Source organism: Homo sapiens, unplaced genomic scaffold, assembly GCF_000001405.40.
Source record: "Homo sapiens unplaced genomic scaffold, GRCh38.p14 Primary Assembly HSCHRUN_RANDOM_CTG16".
Lineage (NCBI taxonomy): Eukaryota > Metazoa > Chordata > Mammalia > Primates > Hominidae > Homo > Homo sapiens.
The window spans coordinates 39,541-57,290 of record NT_167218.1 but is presented as its reverse complement, the minus strand read 5'-3'; the positions used below and the strand labels follow the sequence as shown (position 1 = coordinate 57,290).

Below are 17,750 nucleotides of genomic sequence, written 5' to 3'. Positions count from 1 at the left end.
TGGGATTACAGGCATGAGCCAAGGCACCCAGCCAATTACATGCTTTAATATATACAAGGCTATGTATGCTTACATATAAGTGAAACAAATGGCAACAATAACACAAGAGATGGGAATATGAGAGAAACAGCTATTACATTTCTTTTAGAAGGCAGTCAAAGTAACTGAACTGGTATAGTGTTATTTGAAGGTGGACTTGGATTTGTTGCAAGTCTATACTGCAAACTCCAGGGCAACTAGTAAAAACCAAAGTATAAAAATACTAAAAAGAGAAAACAGGCCAGGTATAGTGGCTCATGCCAAGGTAGAAAGATGGCTTGAGTCCAGGAGTTAGAGACTATCCTGAGCAACACAGTGAGACCCCGTCCCTACAAAAAAGAAAAGGCCAGGTATTGTGGTGCATACTTGTAGTCCTAGCTAATTGCATACTTGTAGTCCTAGCTAATTGCGTACTGGTAGTCCTAGCTAATTGCATACTTGTAGTCCTAGCTAATTGCATACTTGTAGTTCTAGCTAATTGCATACTTGTAGTCCTAGCTAATGACTTACTTGTAGTCCTAGCTAGTTGGGAGGCTGAGGTGGAAATATCACTTGAACCCACGAGGTTGAGGCTGCAGGGAGCCATGATCACACCACTGCACTCCAGCCTGGGTGACTGCTGTCTCAATTAAAAAATAAAAAGCAATGAGAGGAAACAAAAATCATATAAAATCATCAACTCCATAAAAGGCAGAAAAAGAGTGGAGGACAAACCAAGAACAAAGAACAATAGGAGTGAATGGAAAATGATATGGCAAAATTAACCCAACTGTATAATCACTTTGAATGTCATGGTCTAAATGCACCAGTGAAAAGACAAATTGCTAGAGCTCATCAAAATAGAGGCACACCTCACTTTATCGAGCTTCACTTTATTTAGCTTGGAAACATCACCTTTTTAACAAATTAAAGATTTGTGGCCACAAAGTGCTCAGTAAGTCTGATCAGCACCATTTTTCCACACCGTGTGCTCACTTCACATCTGTGTCACATGTTTTGGCAATCCCCACAATCTTTCAAAGATTTTAGTTATCACATCTGTTATGATGATCTGTGATCAGTGATTTCTGATGTTACTATTGGAATTGTCTCAGAGTGGTGGAAATCTATGGAAGACAGTAAAAACGATGGAAAAGTGTTGTGTTTGACTGTTTCATTGGCTAGTCATTTCCCTATCTCCATTTCTCTCTTCCAGCCCCCCGTTCCCCAAGATACAACAATGAAATTAGGCCCCTCCAGTCTGCAGTGGCCACTATGTATTCAAGTGAAAAGAAGTGTTCACATCTGTCACTTCAAATCAAGAGGTAGAAATCATCAAGCTTAGTGAAGAAAGCATGTTAGAAGCTAAGACAGGCCAAAGATAAGCTTTTTGCATGAGCTACCCAAGTTGTGAATGGAAACAAAAAGTTCTTGAAGGAAGTTATAGGTGCTACTCCAGTGAACACATGAATGATTTAAAAAAAAACCAGATTTTTTACTGACACAGAGAAAGTCTGAGTGGTCTGCATAGAAGATCAAACCAGCCCCAAAATTCCCTTGAGACAAAGCCTAATCCTGAGAAAGGCCCTAACTCTCTTCAATTCTATGGAGGAGAAGAGAGGTGAGAAAGTTGCAGAAGAAATGTTTGAAGCTGGCAGAGGTTGGTACATGAGCTTCTAGGAAAACAGCCATATCTGTGACATTAAAGTGTGAAGTGTGCTGTAAAAATGGGAACAAGAAAGCCTGCATGATAGCACTTCTGTTACAGCATGGTTATAACCTTCTTGTTGGTAGGTCAGGAGGTAATGGTCACCATTTGTGTCCATATTCTCCTAGACTGAGCATGGAGAAATCTATAGTAGTAGCTGGAGAGGTGTAGGTTGTGTGTTCAAGGGAAAAAAAAGTGATTTTGAGGGAATACATAGCCTGCATCAGCTATATCAGATTTCTCTCCTATATGGGTTTGTTGATGCCTGCTGAGGTGTGACTTCCGGCAAAAGGTTTTCCCACATTCCTTACATTTATAAGGTTTTTCTCCTGTGTGTGTTCTCTGATGTATACTGAGGCCTGGCTTCTGGGAGAAAGTTTTCCTACATTCATTATAACTAAAGTGTTATTCCCCTGTGTGAGTTCTGTGCTGTACAAAGAGTTTTGACTTCTGAGAGAAGGTTTTCTTACATTCAAATGGCTTCTCACCTGTGTGAGTTCTCTGATGTATGGTGAGAACTGCCTTATGGTAAAAAGTTTTCCTACATTCATCACATTCACAGGGTTTCTCTCCTGAGTGAATTCCCTGATGCATATTGAGGTTTGACTTGTAACAAAAAGTTTTCCCACACTGATTACATTCGAAAGGTTTTTCTCCAGTCTGAGTTCTATGATGTACAGTGAGGACTGACTTCTGACTGAAGGTTTTTCCACATTTGCTACATTCATAGGGTTTCTCCCCCGTGTGAATACCTTGATGCTTCTGAATATTTGCCTTCTGATGAAAGGATTTTCCACATTCATTACATTCATAGAGCTTTTCCCCAGTGTGAGTTCTCTGATGTATAATAAGGTATGATTTCTGACAAAAAGTTTTTCCACTTTCGTTACATCCATACGGTTTCTCCCCGTGTGAGTACTCTGGTGTATGGTGAGGAATGACTTGCAATGAAAGGTTTTTCCACATTCATTTCATATGTAAGGTTTCTCCCCTGTGTGTGTTCCCTGATGGGTGCTGAGATTTGACTTCTGACGAAAGGTTTTTCCACATTCATTACATTCATAGGGTCTTTCCCCTGTGTGAGTTCTCTTGTGTATCCCAAGGTTTAATTTATTGATAAAGGTTTTCTCACATTTATTACATTCATAGGGTTTTTTGCCAGCATGAGTTCTCTGACGTATAGTTAGAAATGACTTATGACTTACAGTAAAAGGATTTTCCACATTCATTACATTCATAGGGTTTTTCCCGTGTGAGTTCTGTGATGTACTGTAAGGTATGACTTGTGGCTATACGTTTTTCCACATTTGTTACATGCATATGGTTTTTCCCCAGTATGAGTTCTCTGATGTAAAGTAAGGAATGACTTATGGCAAACGGTTTTTCCACATTCATTGCATCCATAGGGCTTTTCCCCTGTGTGAATTCTCTGATGGATAGTGAGGCCAGACTTACAGCTGAACAATTTTTCACACCAGTTACAGGCATAAGGTTTTTCCTCAGTAGGCATCTTGTGCTGTATCATAAGGTCTGATTTGCTAACGGAGGGTTTCTCACATTCAACACATTCATGGGGTTTCTCTCCTGTGTGTGTTTGCTGATGTTTGGTGAAGTCAGACTTTCTACAGCAAGTTGGCTGTCCTACCTGAGTTATCCCTTGGACAATAATAGCTCAGTTATTACAGGCTTTCTCATATTCATTATATTTACCAACGGTCTGTCCTATATGAACCCTCTTATGTATAAAGAACATTGCCTCCATGTTGAAGGTTTTCACTTGTTCATTACATTGAAAAGGCCTGCAGCAGAGTTTGAATCTTGTGATGCTGAGTAAGATGTTCATGACGTCTGTGGGATCTCCTGGTTATATCAAGGACATGAGGTTTCTCTCCAGACTGTGTCTCACCAGGCTTAATAGGGAAAAGCACGTTCTGGCAGACATTAAACTGCCCAGGCTTCATTTCTGAACTGTTTCCATTATTTATAATCAGATTTAAAACATGGTTTGAGTTCAAATTAAATGTTTTTCCTAATTCAACTCTCTCCTGAGTTGATGTGTTGCTGTTGGTGATTACAATTTTCCAGAAAAATCTATCATGACTTTCATGGCTCCTTTCAATAAGGTCATCAATGATCTGGACAGCTGAAATGAGAAAAACGTATCCATGAACCACACAGGAGCATGTCTTAAAGAATGCTTGTGTAAAGGTGAAAAAAATTACTTCCTATCCCAGTGGAGTAAGATTTGATAAAAATTAATAATGGGTATTGGTTTTATATGCATATGGTTCCTGTTCCTTCTGACATCATGTAATAAATCAGTATATTTTCTAATGTTCAATTGAGTTTTTCTTTGCATTTTGAAGTTTTCCTTTTCTTTTTTATTTCACAAAGAATTATTTGGTAATAATATGCATCTACTTCCTACTCATAGGTTTTAATAAGTGCTCATTATCCGTCATTTGTTTTCTCTCTTTTTTTTCTATTTATTCATATAACAATAGTGGCTGTTTTAGTAGTTGCTATTTTTTCATCATTATTCCTTGAAAATAGCCAGTTTTTCTTGGGTCAGCAACTGGCAGGTACAGGAGATGGCCATTTTTCTGTCTCCTAAGCATGGAAGTAGCTTGTAGACAGGATTTTGCCTATATGTTAACTTTTCACTCCTCCCTGAGAATGGTTAAATGTGTCTGGAGGTTTTCCAAGCAGAAAATCTCTTATTCCCCATGTTAAACAAAAACAGATCCTGGCAAATTCCTACTTAAACATGACATCTCCTGCTTCCCAGAACCATAATAGGCAAAGAACCTCCAGTCAAAAAACCATACTGGTGATCTGAAGGATTGGTTCTGCAACTCAGGCTGTGCTCGTCATCTTTGAAAAGTGTATTTCTGGTTCCTTCTGAGATCAACAGCTCTGTCCCTCTCCACTCACACACCCCTGCTTGATAATTCACCATTTTTGAAGGGTTTTATTTTGTGTTTTGGAGTTTCAGATGTCACACAGTTATATATAAAAATGAAGTTTCCTGTACATTTCTCATCTTCAAATGATAACTACAAACTCCACTCTCAAACAGAAATCTGAGCCCTTCAACAGGAAATCATTGGTTTCTTTGGACTTGAGACCGAGAATCTTCTGGTTATCCTCCCAAGTCCAGCACCACCCCTATCCAGGCCCCTATGATGGGTTCTCCTCAGTTTCATAATTTCTTTCTGAGACAGGATCTTACTCTGTTACCCAGGCTGGAGTGCAGTGTTGCTATCATAGCTCACTGAAGCTTCAAACTCCTGAGCTCAAGCAATCCTTCCACCTCAACCTCCCAAGTATAAAAACTGGGATTACAAACCCATGTCACCATACTCAGCTACTATTTTTTTTGTGTGTGTGGGTGGGAGTCTACAAGGATCATTTAAGGCCAGAAGTTTGAGACCAGCCTGGGCAATAGAACAAGACCTCATCTCCACAAACAATAAAAAATTAGCCAGGTGTGGTGGCACACACCTGTAGTCCTACCTACTTGGGAGGCTAGGCTGTGAGGAACACTTGATCCCAGGAGTTCATCGTTACAGTGAACTATAATCATGCCACTGCACTTGAGTCTGAGAAACAGAGTGAGAACCATCTGTTTAATAAAAAATAAAACAAGAAGAATAAAGCTACAGCTTAAAAAGAAACACTATTTTCATCATCATTGTTATAATGACTGATTCTCAAAAATCGCCTAAGATACATTCAAAGGATAAATAAATGCATGAATGTCTAAAAAATTTTTTAAGACACTACATCAGAATAGAGGAAAAGGGGGAAATAGAGAAAATAAATAGCAAAGAAAAAGGCCTAAAGAGAGGATGGCAGGGATTGGATTTGAGGTAAATAGAAGAAGATACTCAGAAAAATAAGAGACTGGGATATATGCATGAGAGTTACCCCTGGGGACTATATAATGGATATTTAATACAGACCAACAGTCTTCAGGTCGAAGACCTAGGGAAAAAAGTGGTGAAAACAAGATAACACTACCAAAATCTGCTGGGCATTACTCCTCCAGGCCTCCCTCCCCAGTATTCACTGACTGACCTGAAAGTCTCAGGTTTGGGGTTTCTTCTACTATCCATGGCTCTGCTCCTTGTTCTAGCTTGAAGATCATCTCAGGTTTGGTAATGCAATGCCCTGGTAATGAGAAACAATGGAATACTTTGTCAAATCACTAAGTCAAATCCTTTTCAGAATGACAAGAGCTGGGCTTCAGGGACTGTGTAATGAAGGAGCCAATTTGAACATTTCATTACAGAGTAATGACACATTTTTCATCAACCAGAATCCTACAAGTAAATATTATTATACCTTAAAAGGGTTTCTATATTTACCAACAACAAAACACATTCCTGGGAGTTACTGGGAAGTTTCACTCACCCAATGATACCAGTCTCCACCATCACGTCCCTGTACAGGGTCCTCTGAACATCATCCAGGTCCTGACACTCCTCCCAGGTAAAGTGCAGAGCCACATCTTCAAAGGACACCAACCCCTGTAATGGCACATATTTCCTCAAGTCAAAGCATCAGCCCAGGGTCAAAAAACAAGAATCTGGGAATTCACTCTTTTGTGTGTCCATGTGTCTTATATGTATTTTAGATAAGACGTAGTTTGTTTTGTACTGTTTATGGTGGGAGAAGGAGTAATCACAGTAGAAATATGCTTCCACTGTAATAACTTATGAATTAATAAAATTGTATTACAAAGTTCACCTTATAGATCTAGAACCACCCTTGTTGCTAGGGATAAAAGTATAAACAAAATGCAAGACCCTCTCTCTTCAAAAGTAAGAAAAAAAAATAGGCATAATGCTGGATGCCTGTAGTCCTGGCTACTCTGTAAGCTGAGGCTGAAGGATTGCTCAAGCCCAGGAGTTTGACAGTGCAGTGAGTGATGATCACACCACTGCACTCCAGCCTGGCCAACAGAGAGCCTATCTCTCAAAAAAAAAAAGAGGAATAAAATTCTACTCCTCAAAGGAGCTCATGATTTGGTTATGAATATATAAGTATAAACACATACTGGGAATAATGTTTAGGTGAACTCATTGAGACACAAGTTCAATGCAGACTAAGATAAGAGAGAAGGAGAAAATAAATTTTGTTTCTTTTGCATCATGAGGTTCCACTTTACTGAAAAATCAGGTGTTTGGCTCTTCCACATGAACCATGAATTCTCATGACTATGAGAAAGTATCAGAAGTCTACTGACAAAGGCAAAGAGAACACACACTACTTTAATGGAACTCTGGACAGCACCATGCCTAGATGAATGATCCTGGTCAGTGATGAAAGCTAAATGCAATATTTAAGGAATTGATTATGCAGTGATTCTGCATTTAAATATTTGACCTAATTTCAAAAATTTTTATGCACCTATCATTTTTACATTACATTACTTCCTCAGTATCCAAGGGGACTGATTCCAAGATAGACCCAGATACCAAAATCCACAGATTGGATAACTCTCTTATATAAACAAGTCTCATATTTACATATAACTTATGTACATCATCCTGTATACAGTCATGAGCTGCATAATAACATTTCAGCCAATGATGAAACATGTATATCAAAATAGTCCCATAAGATGATGATGAAACATACACAGAAACCTGATATTGGCATTGCAGATGAAGTGCAGAAAATGATATTCAATAATGGCTCTGAGCCATCTGGTTACCCATATTCCAAAAACATATAAATAAAAATATACATACCATGTAGGTTTTTGTAACACTATGATGTTCACAAAACAATGAAATTACCTAAAGATGCATTTCTCAGAAAGTAATCCCATCAGTAAGCCATGCACGACTGAACTTTAAATCTTTAGATTACATATAATACTGAAGACAATGTAATGCTACATAAATGGGTGTTATATTTCACTGTTTAGGAAATAATGACAAGAAAAATTTCTGTAGATGCTCTGCACAGAGACAACCATCTATTTTTGTGGGAATATTTTCAATCTGAAGTTGGCTGAATCCGCAGATGCAAAACCCATGGATACAAAAGGGTGAGTATACTTAATTAAAATCATATACACTGGCATTTCAAAATTTCCTTCCTACAGGACAAAAAATTGCTGTATCCACCCAGGGTGAACACAGCCACTTCACAAGCAGGTGTAAATAAGGAGGTCCAGTAAGGACAGAAAAGTTACATGACCATATTGGCATTTTAACAGCCATCCCTGAGAAAGAGAATGGGAAAGGGCTTAAGGGAAAGCCAGAAGGGAGTAAAGAGGAAGACAGATGACCACCTACATCAGTACATCAGGACACGGAGTGTAAGAATACACAATAGGGAAGCAGTTCTTAAAAGGAAAAAAATGTAGAAACAGGATTTGGTCCAATTTGCTGTGCAGTGGGTAAAAAGGGGAGTTTTGTTTCCAAGTTATCTGCCCTGATCCAGCTAGTTTGGTACTTGTGTTGTGAAGTGAAATTTGCAAAGAAATAAAAGAATATGATAACCAGAAGTGACACAAACCTGGACATATCATGTGTGAAGCATCTGAGGTTCCATATGTGGGAATGTTCAACTGGCAATTGGGAATATGGCTCCAGTGGTTCAGAAGAGAGATCAAAACTAAAGATAAAGATTTGGAAATTACCAGAATTTCAATGGTACCTGAATCCATGAGACCAAATGAAAATAAGAGAAGGAAAGAATAAAAGAAACAAGTACAGAATCTACAGAAACACTAACATTTACAGAGGAAGAGAAATAGACTGTGAAGACCAAGAAGGAACTTTCTGAGTTTATTCCACGAATAAAGAAAAGTTCAATATTAAGAAGTCTAATATAATTCATCATGACCATATTCCTGTGGAAAAAAATCCTTTAACTGTGCACATAGGCATTGAGAAGATAGTTTTAGAAACACATTCCAGGTTCCTATTTCTGCATGTAAGAAGCTTGGAGGTAATCAATAATTACTTTACAATAATTAATTTTTATAACAAGCTTAACAACAAATTAATATGACACAATTAATCTTAACAACAAATAAAAAGCTGAAGAGACTAAAAAATCCACAATTGTTTCTAGATTTGAATCTCAGGGGAGGACACAGGGCAAACCACTTCCCCCAGGATTGCAGAGACAGAGAAATGAATATAGGACTTAATGGCTTACAGGAACATGGACTCACTACTGAAACCAACCTTGGAACCAGTGCTGGAGTAGAAAAACTCAAACCGTAACTGGTGAACGGCTGGAGGATCCGCGTGGACAACTCTAAGTGGTAAAAACTACAAAGAGATAGAGTTATTGTGGGGGGAGGGGGAACAATACTGTAAAATTGTCTCATGGGGCTTCACCAGGCTCCTGTGACAAATACCTGAGAAAACTCCCCTCCTGCTTCTACCTTTGGGAAGGAAAAAGGAAAACCAGTTTGAAATGTGCCAGAGTACCTGGTTCTTAACAAGGCTTGTCCACAGGAGAAACTACTTAACTTCAGCCTAATCTGCTCTAGTATAATCAGAGACTAAATAACCTAGGGGAAGGGAATTACCCCTTCCACTGTAGCCCATTCTAGTCATGTTCCACCTAAGGCAGAAAATTAATTAAACAGAGGAACACTTCTGAGGTTCACAGTATAAACCCAATCATAGCATTCCAGAACATGGCAGCTGGGGTCTGCGTGTTTGTCCCTCACATACGATACCAAAACGCTGCTCCTGAGGTCTGAATGTTTGTCCCTTACACAGTATTCCAGAACACTGCTACGAGGGTCTGAATGTTTGTCCCTCACAAAGGATTCCAGAACATTGATGCTGGGGTCTGAATGTTTACCCTTAACTTAGGATTTCAGAACGCTGCTCCTGGGGTCTGAATGTTTGTCCCTTACACAGTATTCCAGAACACTGCTACGAGGGTCTGAATGTTTGTCCCTCACAAAGGATTCCAGAACATTGATGCTGGGGTCTGAATGTTTACCCTTAACTTAGGATTTCAGAACGCTGCTCCTGGGGTCTGAATGTTTGTCCCTCACACAGGATTCCAGAACACTGATGCTGGGATCTGAATGTCTGTCCCTCACATAGAATACTAGAACACATACGAGGGTCAGAAAGTTTGTCCCTCACATAGGATTCCAGAACACTGCTGCTGGGGTCAGAAAGTTTGTCCCTCACATAGGATTCCAGATCACTGCTACGAGGTTCTGAATATTTGTCCATTACATAGGACTCCAGAACACTGCTGCCGTGGTCTGAATGTTTGTCCCTCACATAGGATTCCAGAACACTGCTGCTGGGGTCTGAATGTTTGTCCCTCACATAGGATTCCAGAACACTGCTGCGAGGGTCTGAATGTTTCTCCCTCACATAGGATTCCAGAACATTGCTGCGAGGGTCTAAATGTCTGTCCTTCACATAGGATTCCAGAACACTGCTACGAGGTTCTGAATGTTTGTCCATTACATAGGATTCTAGAACACTGCTGCTGGGGTCTGAATGTTTGTCCCTCACATAGGATTCCAGAACACTGCTGCCGGGGTCTGAATGTTTGTCCCTCACATAAGACTCCAGAACACTGCTATGAGGGTCTGAATATTTGTCCCTCACATAGGATTCCAGAACCCTCCTGCTGTGGTCTGAATGCGTGTCCCTCACATAAGATTCCAGAACACTGCTACGAGGGTCTGAATGTCTGTCACATAGGACTCCAGAACATGGCTGCTGTGGTCTGAAAGTTTTTCCCTCACATAGGATTCCAGAACACTAATGCAATGATCTGAATATTTGTCCCTCACATAGGATTCCAGAACACTGATTCCAGGGTCTGAATGTTTGTACCTCACATAGGATTCCAGAACACTGCTGCTGGGGTCTGAGTGTTTGTCCCACACATAGGATTCCAGAACACTGCTGGGAATGTCTGAATGTTTGCCCATCACATGGGATCCCAGAACACTGCTGCTGGCATCTGAATGTTTGTCCCTCACACAGGATTCCAGAACACTGCTGCTGTGGTGTGTTTTTTTTCTTTTACTTTTTGTCTTTTTAAAATTACTTTATTAATATTTATTTTTAATTGACATATGACATTGCAAGTTTTTTGTAATGTAAAATGTGATGGACAAACATTCAGACCAATGCAGTAGCGTTCTGGAATCCTATGTGAGGGACAAAGTATGCATACATTGTGAAAAGGTCAAATCTAGCTAATTAACAAATACATCAACTCACATAGTTATCATCTTTGTGGTGAATACACATAACATTAACTTTCTATTTCTCAAGAATACAATATGTCATCATCAATTACAATCACCTTGCTCTACAGCACATCTCCTGAAATGTATTCCTTCTGTCTAGCTCTAAGTATATATCCTCTGATTAACATCACGGCAACTCCCCTTTACCCCTAGCTCTGATACCCACCATTGTACTTTGTAATTCTATGAGATCAACTTTTTAACATACCAGTAGGAGACATGTCATGATATATTTGTCTTTTTGTGCCTGACCTATTTCACTTAACCTATTGTCCTCCAGGTTCATCCATGTTGTTTACAAATGACAGGGTTTTCTTTTTTTACTGCCAAATAGTATACCACATTTTCTTTCTTTTTTAATTATATTTCTGTATTGAATTATTTATATACATATTTTTTATTATACTTTAAGTTCTTGGATACATGTGCACAACGTGCAGGTTTGTTATGTTTGCATACATGTGCCATGTTGGTGTGCTGCACTCAGTAACTCGTCATTTACATAAGGTATATCTCCTAATGCTATCCCCCCTCCCCCCACCCCACAACAGGCCATGGTGTGTGATGTTCCCCTTCCTGTGTCTACGTGTTCTCATTGTTCAATTCCCACCTATGAGTGAGAACATGTGGTGTTTGGTTTTTTTGTCCTCGTGATAGTTTGCTGAGAATGATGATTTCCAGCTTCATCCATGTCCCTACAAAGGACATGAACTCATCATTTTTTATGGTTGCATAGTATTCCATGGCGTATATGTGCCACATTTTCTTAATCCAGTCTATCGTTGTTGGACATTTGGACATTTCGGTTGGTTCCAAGTCTTTGCTATTGTGAGTAGCGTCGCAATAAACATACGTATGCATGTGTCTTTATAGCAGCATGACTTATATTCCATTGGGTATATATCCAGTAATTGGAAGCCTGGGTCAAATGGTATTTCTAGTTCTAGATCCCTGAGGAATCACCACACTGTCTTCCACAATCGTTGAACTACTTTACAATCCCACTAACAGTGTAAAAGTGTTCCTGTTTCTCCATATACTCTCTAGCATCTGTTGTTTCCTGACTTTTAAATGATCGCCATTCTAACTAGTGTGAGATGATATCTCATTGTGATTTTGATTTGCATTTTTCTGATGGCGAGTGACGATGACCATTTTTCATGTGTCTGTTGGCTGCATAAATGTCTTCTTTTGAGAAGTGTCTGTTCATATCCTTCGCCCACTTGTTGATGGGGTTTTTTCTTGTACATTTGTTTGAGTTAATTGTAGATTTTGGATATTATCCCTTTGTCAGATGACTGCAAAAATTTTCTCCCATTCTGTAGGTTGCCTGTTCACTGGTATGTCTTTTGCTTCACAGAAGCTCTTTAGTTTAATTATATCCCATTTGTCAATTTTGGCTTTTGTTGGCATTGCTTTTGATGTTTAAGACATGAAGTCTTTGCCCATGCCTATGTCCTGAATGGTATTGCCTAGGTTTTCTTCTAGGGTTTTCATGGTTTTAGGTCTAACATTTAAATCTTTAATACGTCTTGAATTAATTTTTGTATAAGTTGAAAGGAAGGGATCCAGTTTCAGCTTTCTACATATGGCCAGCCAGTTTTCCCAGCACAATTTGTTAAATAGGGAATCCTTTCCCGATTTCTTTTGTCAGGTTTGTCAAAGATCAGATAGTTGTAGATGTGTGGTATTATTTCTGAGGGCTCTGTTCTGTTCCATTGATCTATATATCTGCTTTGGCACCAGTACCATGCTGCTTTGGTTATTGTAGCCTTGTAGTACAGTTTGAAGTCAGGTAGCGTGATGCCTCCAGCTTTGTTCTTTTAGCTTAGGATTGACTTGGCCATGTGGGCTCTTTTTTGGTTCCATATGAACTTTAGTTTTTTCCAATTCTGTGAAGAAAATCATTGTTAGCTTGATGGGGATGGTATTGAATCTATAAATTACCTTGGGCAGAATGGCCATTTTCACGATATTGATTCTTCCTACCCATGAGCATGGAATGTTCTTCCATTGATTTGTGTCCTCTTTTATTTTGTTGAGCAGTGGTTCATAGTTCTCCTTGAAGAGGTCCTTCACATCCCTTGTAAGTTGGATTCCTAGGTAATTTATTCTCTTTGAAACAATTGTGAATGGGAATTCACTCATGATTTGGCTCTCTGTTTGCCTGTTATTGCTGTATAAGAATGCTTGTGATATTTGCACATGGATTTTGTATCCTGAGACCTCACTGAAGTTGCTTACCAGCTTAAGGAGATTTTGGGCTGAGATGATGGCGTTTTCTAGATACACAAACATGTCATCTGCAAACAGGGACAATTTGACTTCCAAGAAATAACTAAGATCAGAGCACAATTGAAGGAGATAGAGACACAAAAATCCCTTCAAAAAATCAATGAATTCAGGGGCTGGTTTTTTAAAAAGATCAACAAAATTGACAGACCGCTAGCAAGACTAATAAAGAAGAAAAGAGAGAAGAATCAAATAGATGCAATAAAAAATGATAAAGGGGATAACACCACTGATCCCACAGAAATACAAACTACCATCAGAGAATACTGTAAACACCTCTATGCAAATAAACTAGAAAATCTAGAAGAAATGGATAAATTCCTCAACACATAAGCCCTCCCAAGACTAAACCAGGAAGAAGTTGAATCTCTTAATAGACAAATAACAGGCTCTGAAATTGAGACAATAATAGCATACTAACCATAAAAAGTCCAGGACAAGACGTAATCCACAGCCGAATTCTACCAAAGGTACAAGGATGAGCTGGTACTATTCCTTCTGAAACTATTCCAATCAAGAGAATCCTTGTCCTTGTCTGAATCCTTGTCCCTCACATAGGATTCCAGAACACTGCTACGAGGGTCTGAATGTTTGTCCCTCACATAGGATTACAGAACACTGCTACAAGGGTCTGAATGTTCGTCCTACACAAAGGATTCCAGAACACTCCTGCTGTGGTCTGAATGTTTGTCCCTCACATAGGATAACACAACACTCCTGCTGTGGTCTGAATGCTTGCCCCTCACATAGGATTCCAGAACACTGCTGTTGGGATCTCAGTGTTGGTCCCTCACATAGGGTTCCAGAACATGGCTACAATGCTCTGAATGTTTGTCCCTCACATAGGATTTCAGAACACTGCTGTTGGGGTCTGAAGGTTTGTCCCTCACATAGGATTCCAGAACACTGCTGCTGGGGTGTGAATGTCCGTCAAATAGGATTGGAGAACACTCCTGCTGTGGTCTGAATGTTTGTCCCTCACACAGGTTTCCAGAACACTCCTGCTGTGGTCTGAATGTTTGTCCCTCACATAGGATTCCAGAACACTGCTGCTAGGTTGAGTGTCTGTCCCTCACATGGGCTTCTAGAACACTGTTATGAGGGTCTGAATGTTTGTCCCTCACACAGGATTCCTGAACACTCCTACTGTGGTCTAAATGCTTGTTCCTCACATACGATTCCACAACACTCCTGCTGTTGTCTGAATGTTTCTCCCTCACATAGGATTCCAGAACACTGCTGCTGGGTTCTGAGGGTTTGTCCCTCACATAGGATTCCAGAACACTGCTAGGAGGGTCCGAATATTTGATCCTGAAATAAGATTCCAGAAAACTGCTGCTCGAGTCTGAGTGTTTGTCCCTCACATGGCATTCAAGAACACTGCTGCTGGGGTCTGAATGTCCCTCACATAGAATTCCAGAACACGGTTACAAGGGTCTGAATGTTTGTCCCTCACATAGGACTCCAGAACACTCCTGCTGTGGAGTGAATATTTGTCCCTCCCATAGGATTCCAGAACAATTCTGCTATGATCTGAATGTTTGTCCCTCACATAGCATTCCAGAAGACTGCTGCTGCGGACTGAATGTTTTTCCCTCACATAGGATTCCAGAACACTGCTCCTAGATTCTGAGTTTTTTTTCCCTCAAATAGGATTCCAGAACACTGCTATGAGGGTATGAAAGATTTTCCCTCAAATAGGATTCCAGAACACTCCTGCTGTGTTCTGAATTTTTGTCCCTCACATACGTCTCCATAGCACTCCTGCTGTGGTTAGAATGTTTGTCCCTCAGATAGCATTCAAGAACACTGCTGCTGGAGTCTGAATGTTTGTCTCTAACATAAAATTCCACAGCACTACTGCTCTGGTCTGAAGGTTTGTCCTTCACATATGATTTCAGAACAGTGGTGCTGGATTCTGAGCGTTTGTCATTCACATAGGATTCCAGAACACTGCTAAGAGGGTCTGAATATTTGTCCCTCACTTAGGATTCCAGAATACTGCTGCTGGGTTCTGAGTGTTTGTCCCTCAAATAGGATTCCAGAACACTGCTGATGGGGTCCAAATGTCTGTCCCTCACATAGGATTTCAGAACAATCCTGCTGTGAGCTGAATGTTTGTCCATCACATAGGATTCCAGAACACTGCTGCTGAGGTCTCAATGTTTGGCCCTCAGAGAGCATTCCAGAACAATCTTGCCGTGGTCTGAATGTTTGTCCCTCATGTAGGGTTCTGTTACACTCCTGCTGTGGTCTAAATGTTTATCCCTCACATAGGACTCCAGAACTCTCCTGCTATGGTCTGAATGTTGGCCCCTCACATAGCAGTCCAGAACACTGCTGCTGTGGACTGAATGTTTGTCCCTCACATAGGATTCCAGAGCACTGCTCCTGGATTCTGAGTTTTTTTTCCCTCACATAGGATTCTAGAACACCCCTACGAGGATACGGATGCTTTTCCCTCACATAGGGTTCCAGAACACTGCTGCTGGGGTCTGAATGCTTGTTCTTCACATAGGATTCCAGAACACTCCTGCTGTTGTCTGAATGTTTGACACTCACATAGGACTCCAGAGCACTCCTGCTGTCGTTTGAATGTTTGTCCCTCACATAGGATTTCAGAATACTTCTACTGTGTTCTGAATATTTGTCCCTCAAATAGGATTCCAGAGAACTGCTACAAGGGTCTGAATATTTCTCCTTCACAACGGATTCCAGAACACTCCTGCTGTGGTCTGAATGTTTGTCCCTCACATAGGATTTCAGAACACTCCTGCTGTGTTCTGAAAGTTTGTCCCTCACATAGGACTCCAGAACACTCCTGCTGTTGTCTGAAAGTTTCTCCCTCAGATAGCATTGAAGAACAATGCTGCTGGAGTCTGAATGTTTGCCCTTCACATAGGATTCCAGAACACTCTTGTGATGGTCTGAATGTCCCTCACATATGATTCCAGAAAACGCCTGCTGTGGTCTGAAGGTTTGTGCCTCACATAGGATTCCAGAACATTTCTGCTGTGGTCTGAATATCCCTGACATAGAATTCCAGAACACTGCTATGAGGGTCTGAATGCTTTTCTGTCTCATAACACTCCAGAACACTGCTTCTAGGGTCTGAATGTTGGTCCCTGACATAGGATTCCAGAACACTGCTACGAGGGTCTAAATGTTTGTTCCTCACATAGGATTCCAGAACACTCCTGCTGTTGTTTGTATGTTTGTCTGTCACATAGGATTCCAGAACACTGTGGCTGGGGTATGTATGTCCCTGATATAGGATGGAAGAACGCTGATACCAGGTTCTGAATGTTTGTCTGTCACACAGGATTCCAGAACACCACTATGAGGGTCTGAATGTCTCTCCCTCACAAAGGATTCCAGAAAACTGCTGCAAGGGTCTGAATGTTTGTCCCTCCCATAGGACTCCAGAACACAGCTGCGAGGGTCTAAATGTCTGTCCCTCACATAGGATTGCATAACACTGTTAGGAGGGTCAGGATGTTTGTCCTTCATGTAGCATTCCAGAACACTGCTGCCGTGGTCTGAAAGTTTCTCCCTCACATAGCATTCCAGAACACTGCTATGAGGGTCTGAATGTTTGTCCCACACCTAGGATTCCAGAACACCTCTGCTTCCATGCCGTGGTCTGAAAGTTTCTCCCTCGCATAGGATTCCAGAACACTGCTATGAGGGTCTGAATGTTTGTCCCACATCTAGGATTCCAGAACACCTCTGCTGGATTCTCAAAGTTTATCCCTCACATATGATTCCAGGACACTGCTACGAGGGTATGAATGCTTGTCCTTCACATAGGATTCCACAACACTGCTACGAGGGTCTGAGTGTTTCTCCCTCACATAGTATTCCAGCACACTTCTGCTGGTGTCTGAATGTTTGTACCTCACATCACATTCCAGAACACTGCTGCTGGGGTTTGAATGTCTGTCCCTCACATAGAATTCCAGAACACTGCTGGGAGGGTCTGAATGTATGTCTCTCCTATGGGATTCCAGAACACTGCTCCAAGGGTCTAAATATCTCTCCCTCACATAAAATTCCAGCACACGGCTACGAAGTTCTGAATGTTTGTCCCTCACATAGGATTCCAGAGCCCCCTTGCTGTGGTCTGAACGTTTGTCCCTCACATAGGATTTCAAAACACTGCTACGAAAGTCTGAATCTTTGTCCCTCACATGGGACTCCAGAACACTCCTACTGGGGTCTCAATGTTTGTCCCTCACATAGGATTCCTGAACACTGCTACAAGGGTCTGAACGTTTGTCCTTCACAAAGGATTCCAGAACACTCCTTCTGTGGTCTGAATATTTGTCCCTCACATAGTATTTCAGAACACTCCTGCTGTGTTCTGAATGTTTGTCCATCACATAGGACTCCAGAACACTCCTGCTGTGCTGTGAAATTTTGTCCCTCACATAGCATTCAAGAACACTGCTATGAGGGTCTGAA

At 40.7% G+C, this 17,750-nt stretch overlaps 1 long non-coding RNA gene across 1 annotated transcript; it reads right to left on the bottom strand.

Annotated features, from left to right (window-relative positions):
- Positions 1-891: 891 nt before the first annotated feature.
- On the bottom strand, positions 892-9,081 carry LOC100287610 (uncharacterized). Its single transcript, XR_007068527.1, has 5 exons — positions 8,938-9,081; positions 8,261-8,359; positions 6,143-6,258; positions 5,807-5,899; positions 892-3,869 (listed from the first exon to the last, which is right to left on the bottom strand). It is a non-coding gene; the product is annotated as an uncharacterized LOC100287610 (long non-coding RNA).
- Positions 9,082-17,750: the final 8,669 nt, after the last annotated feature.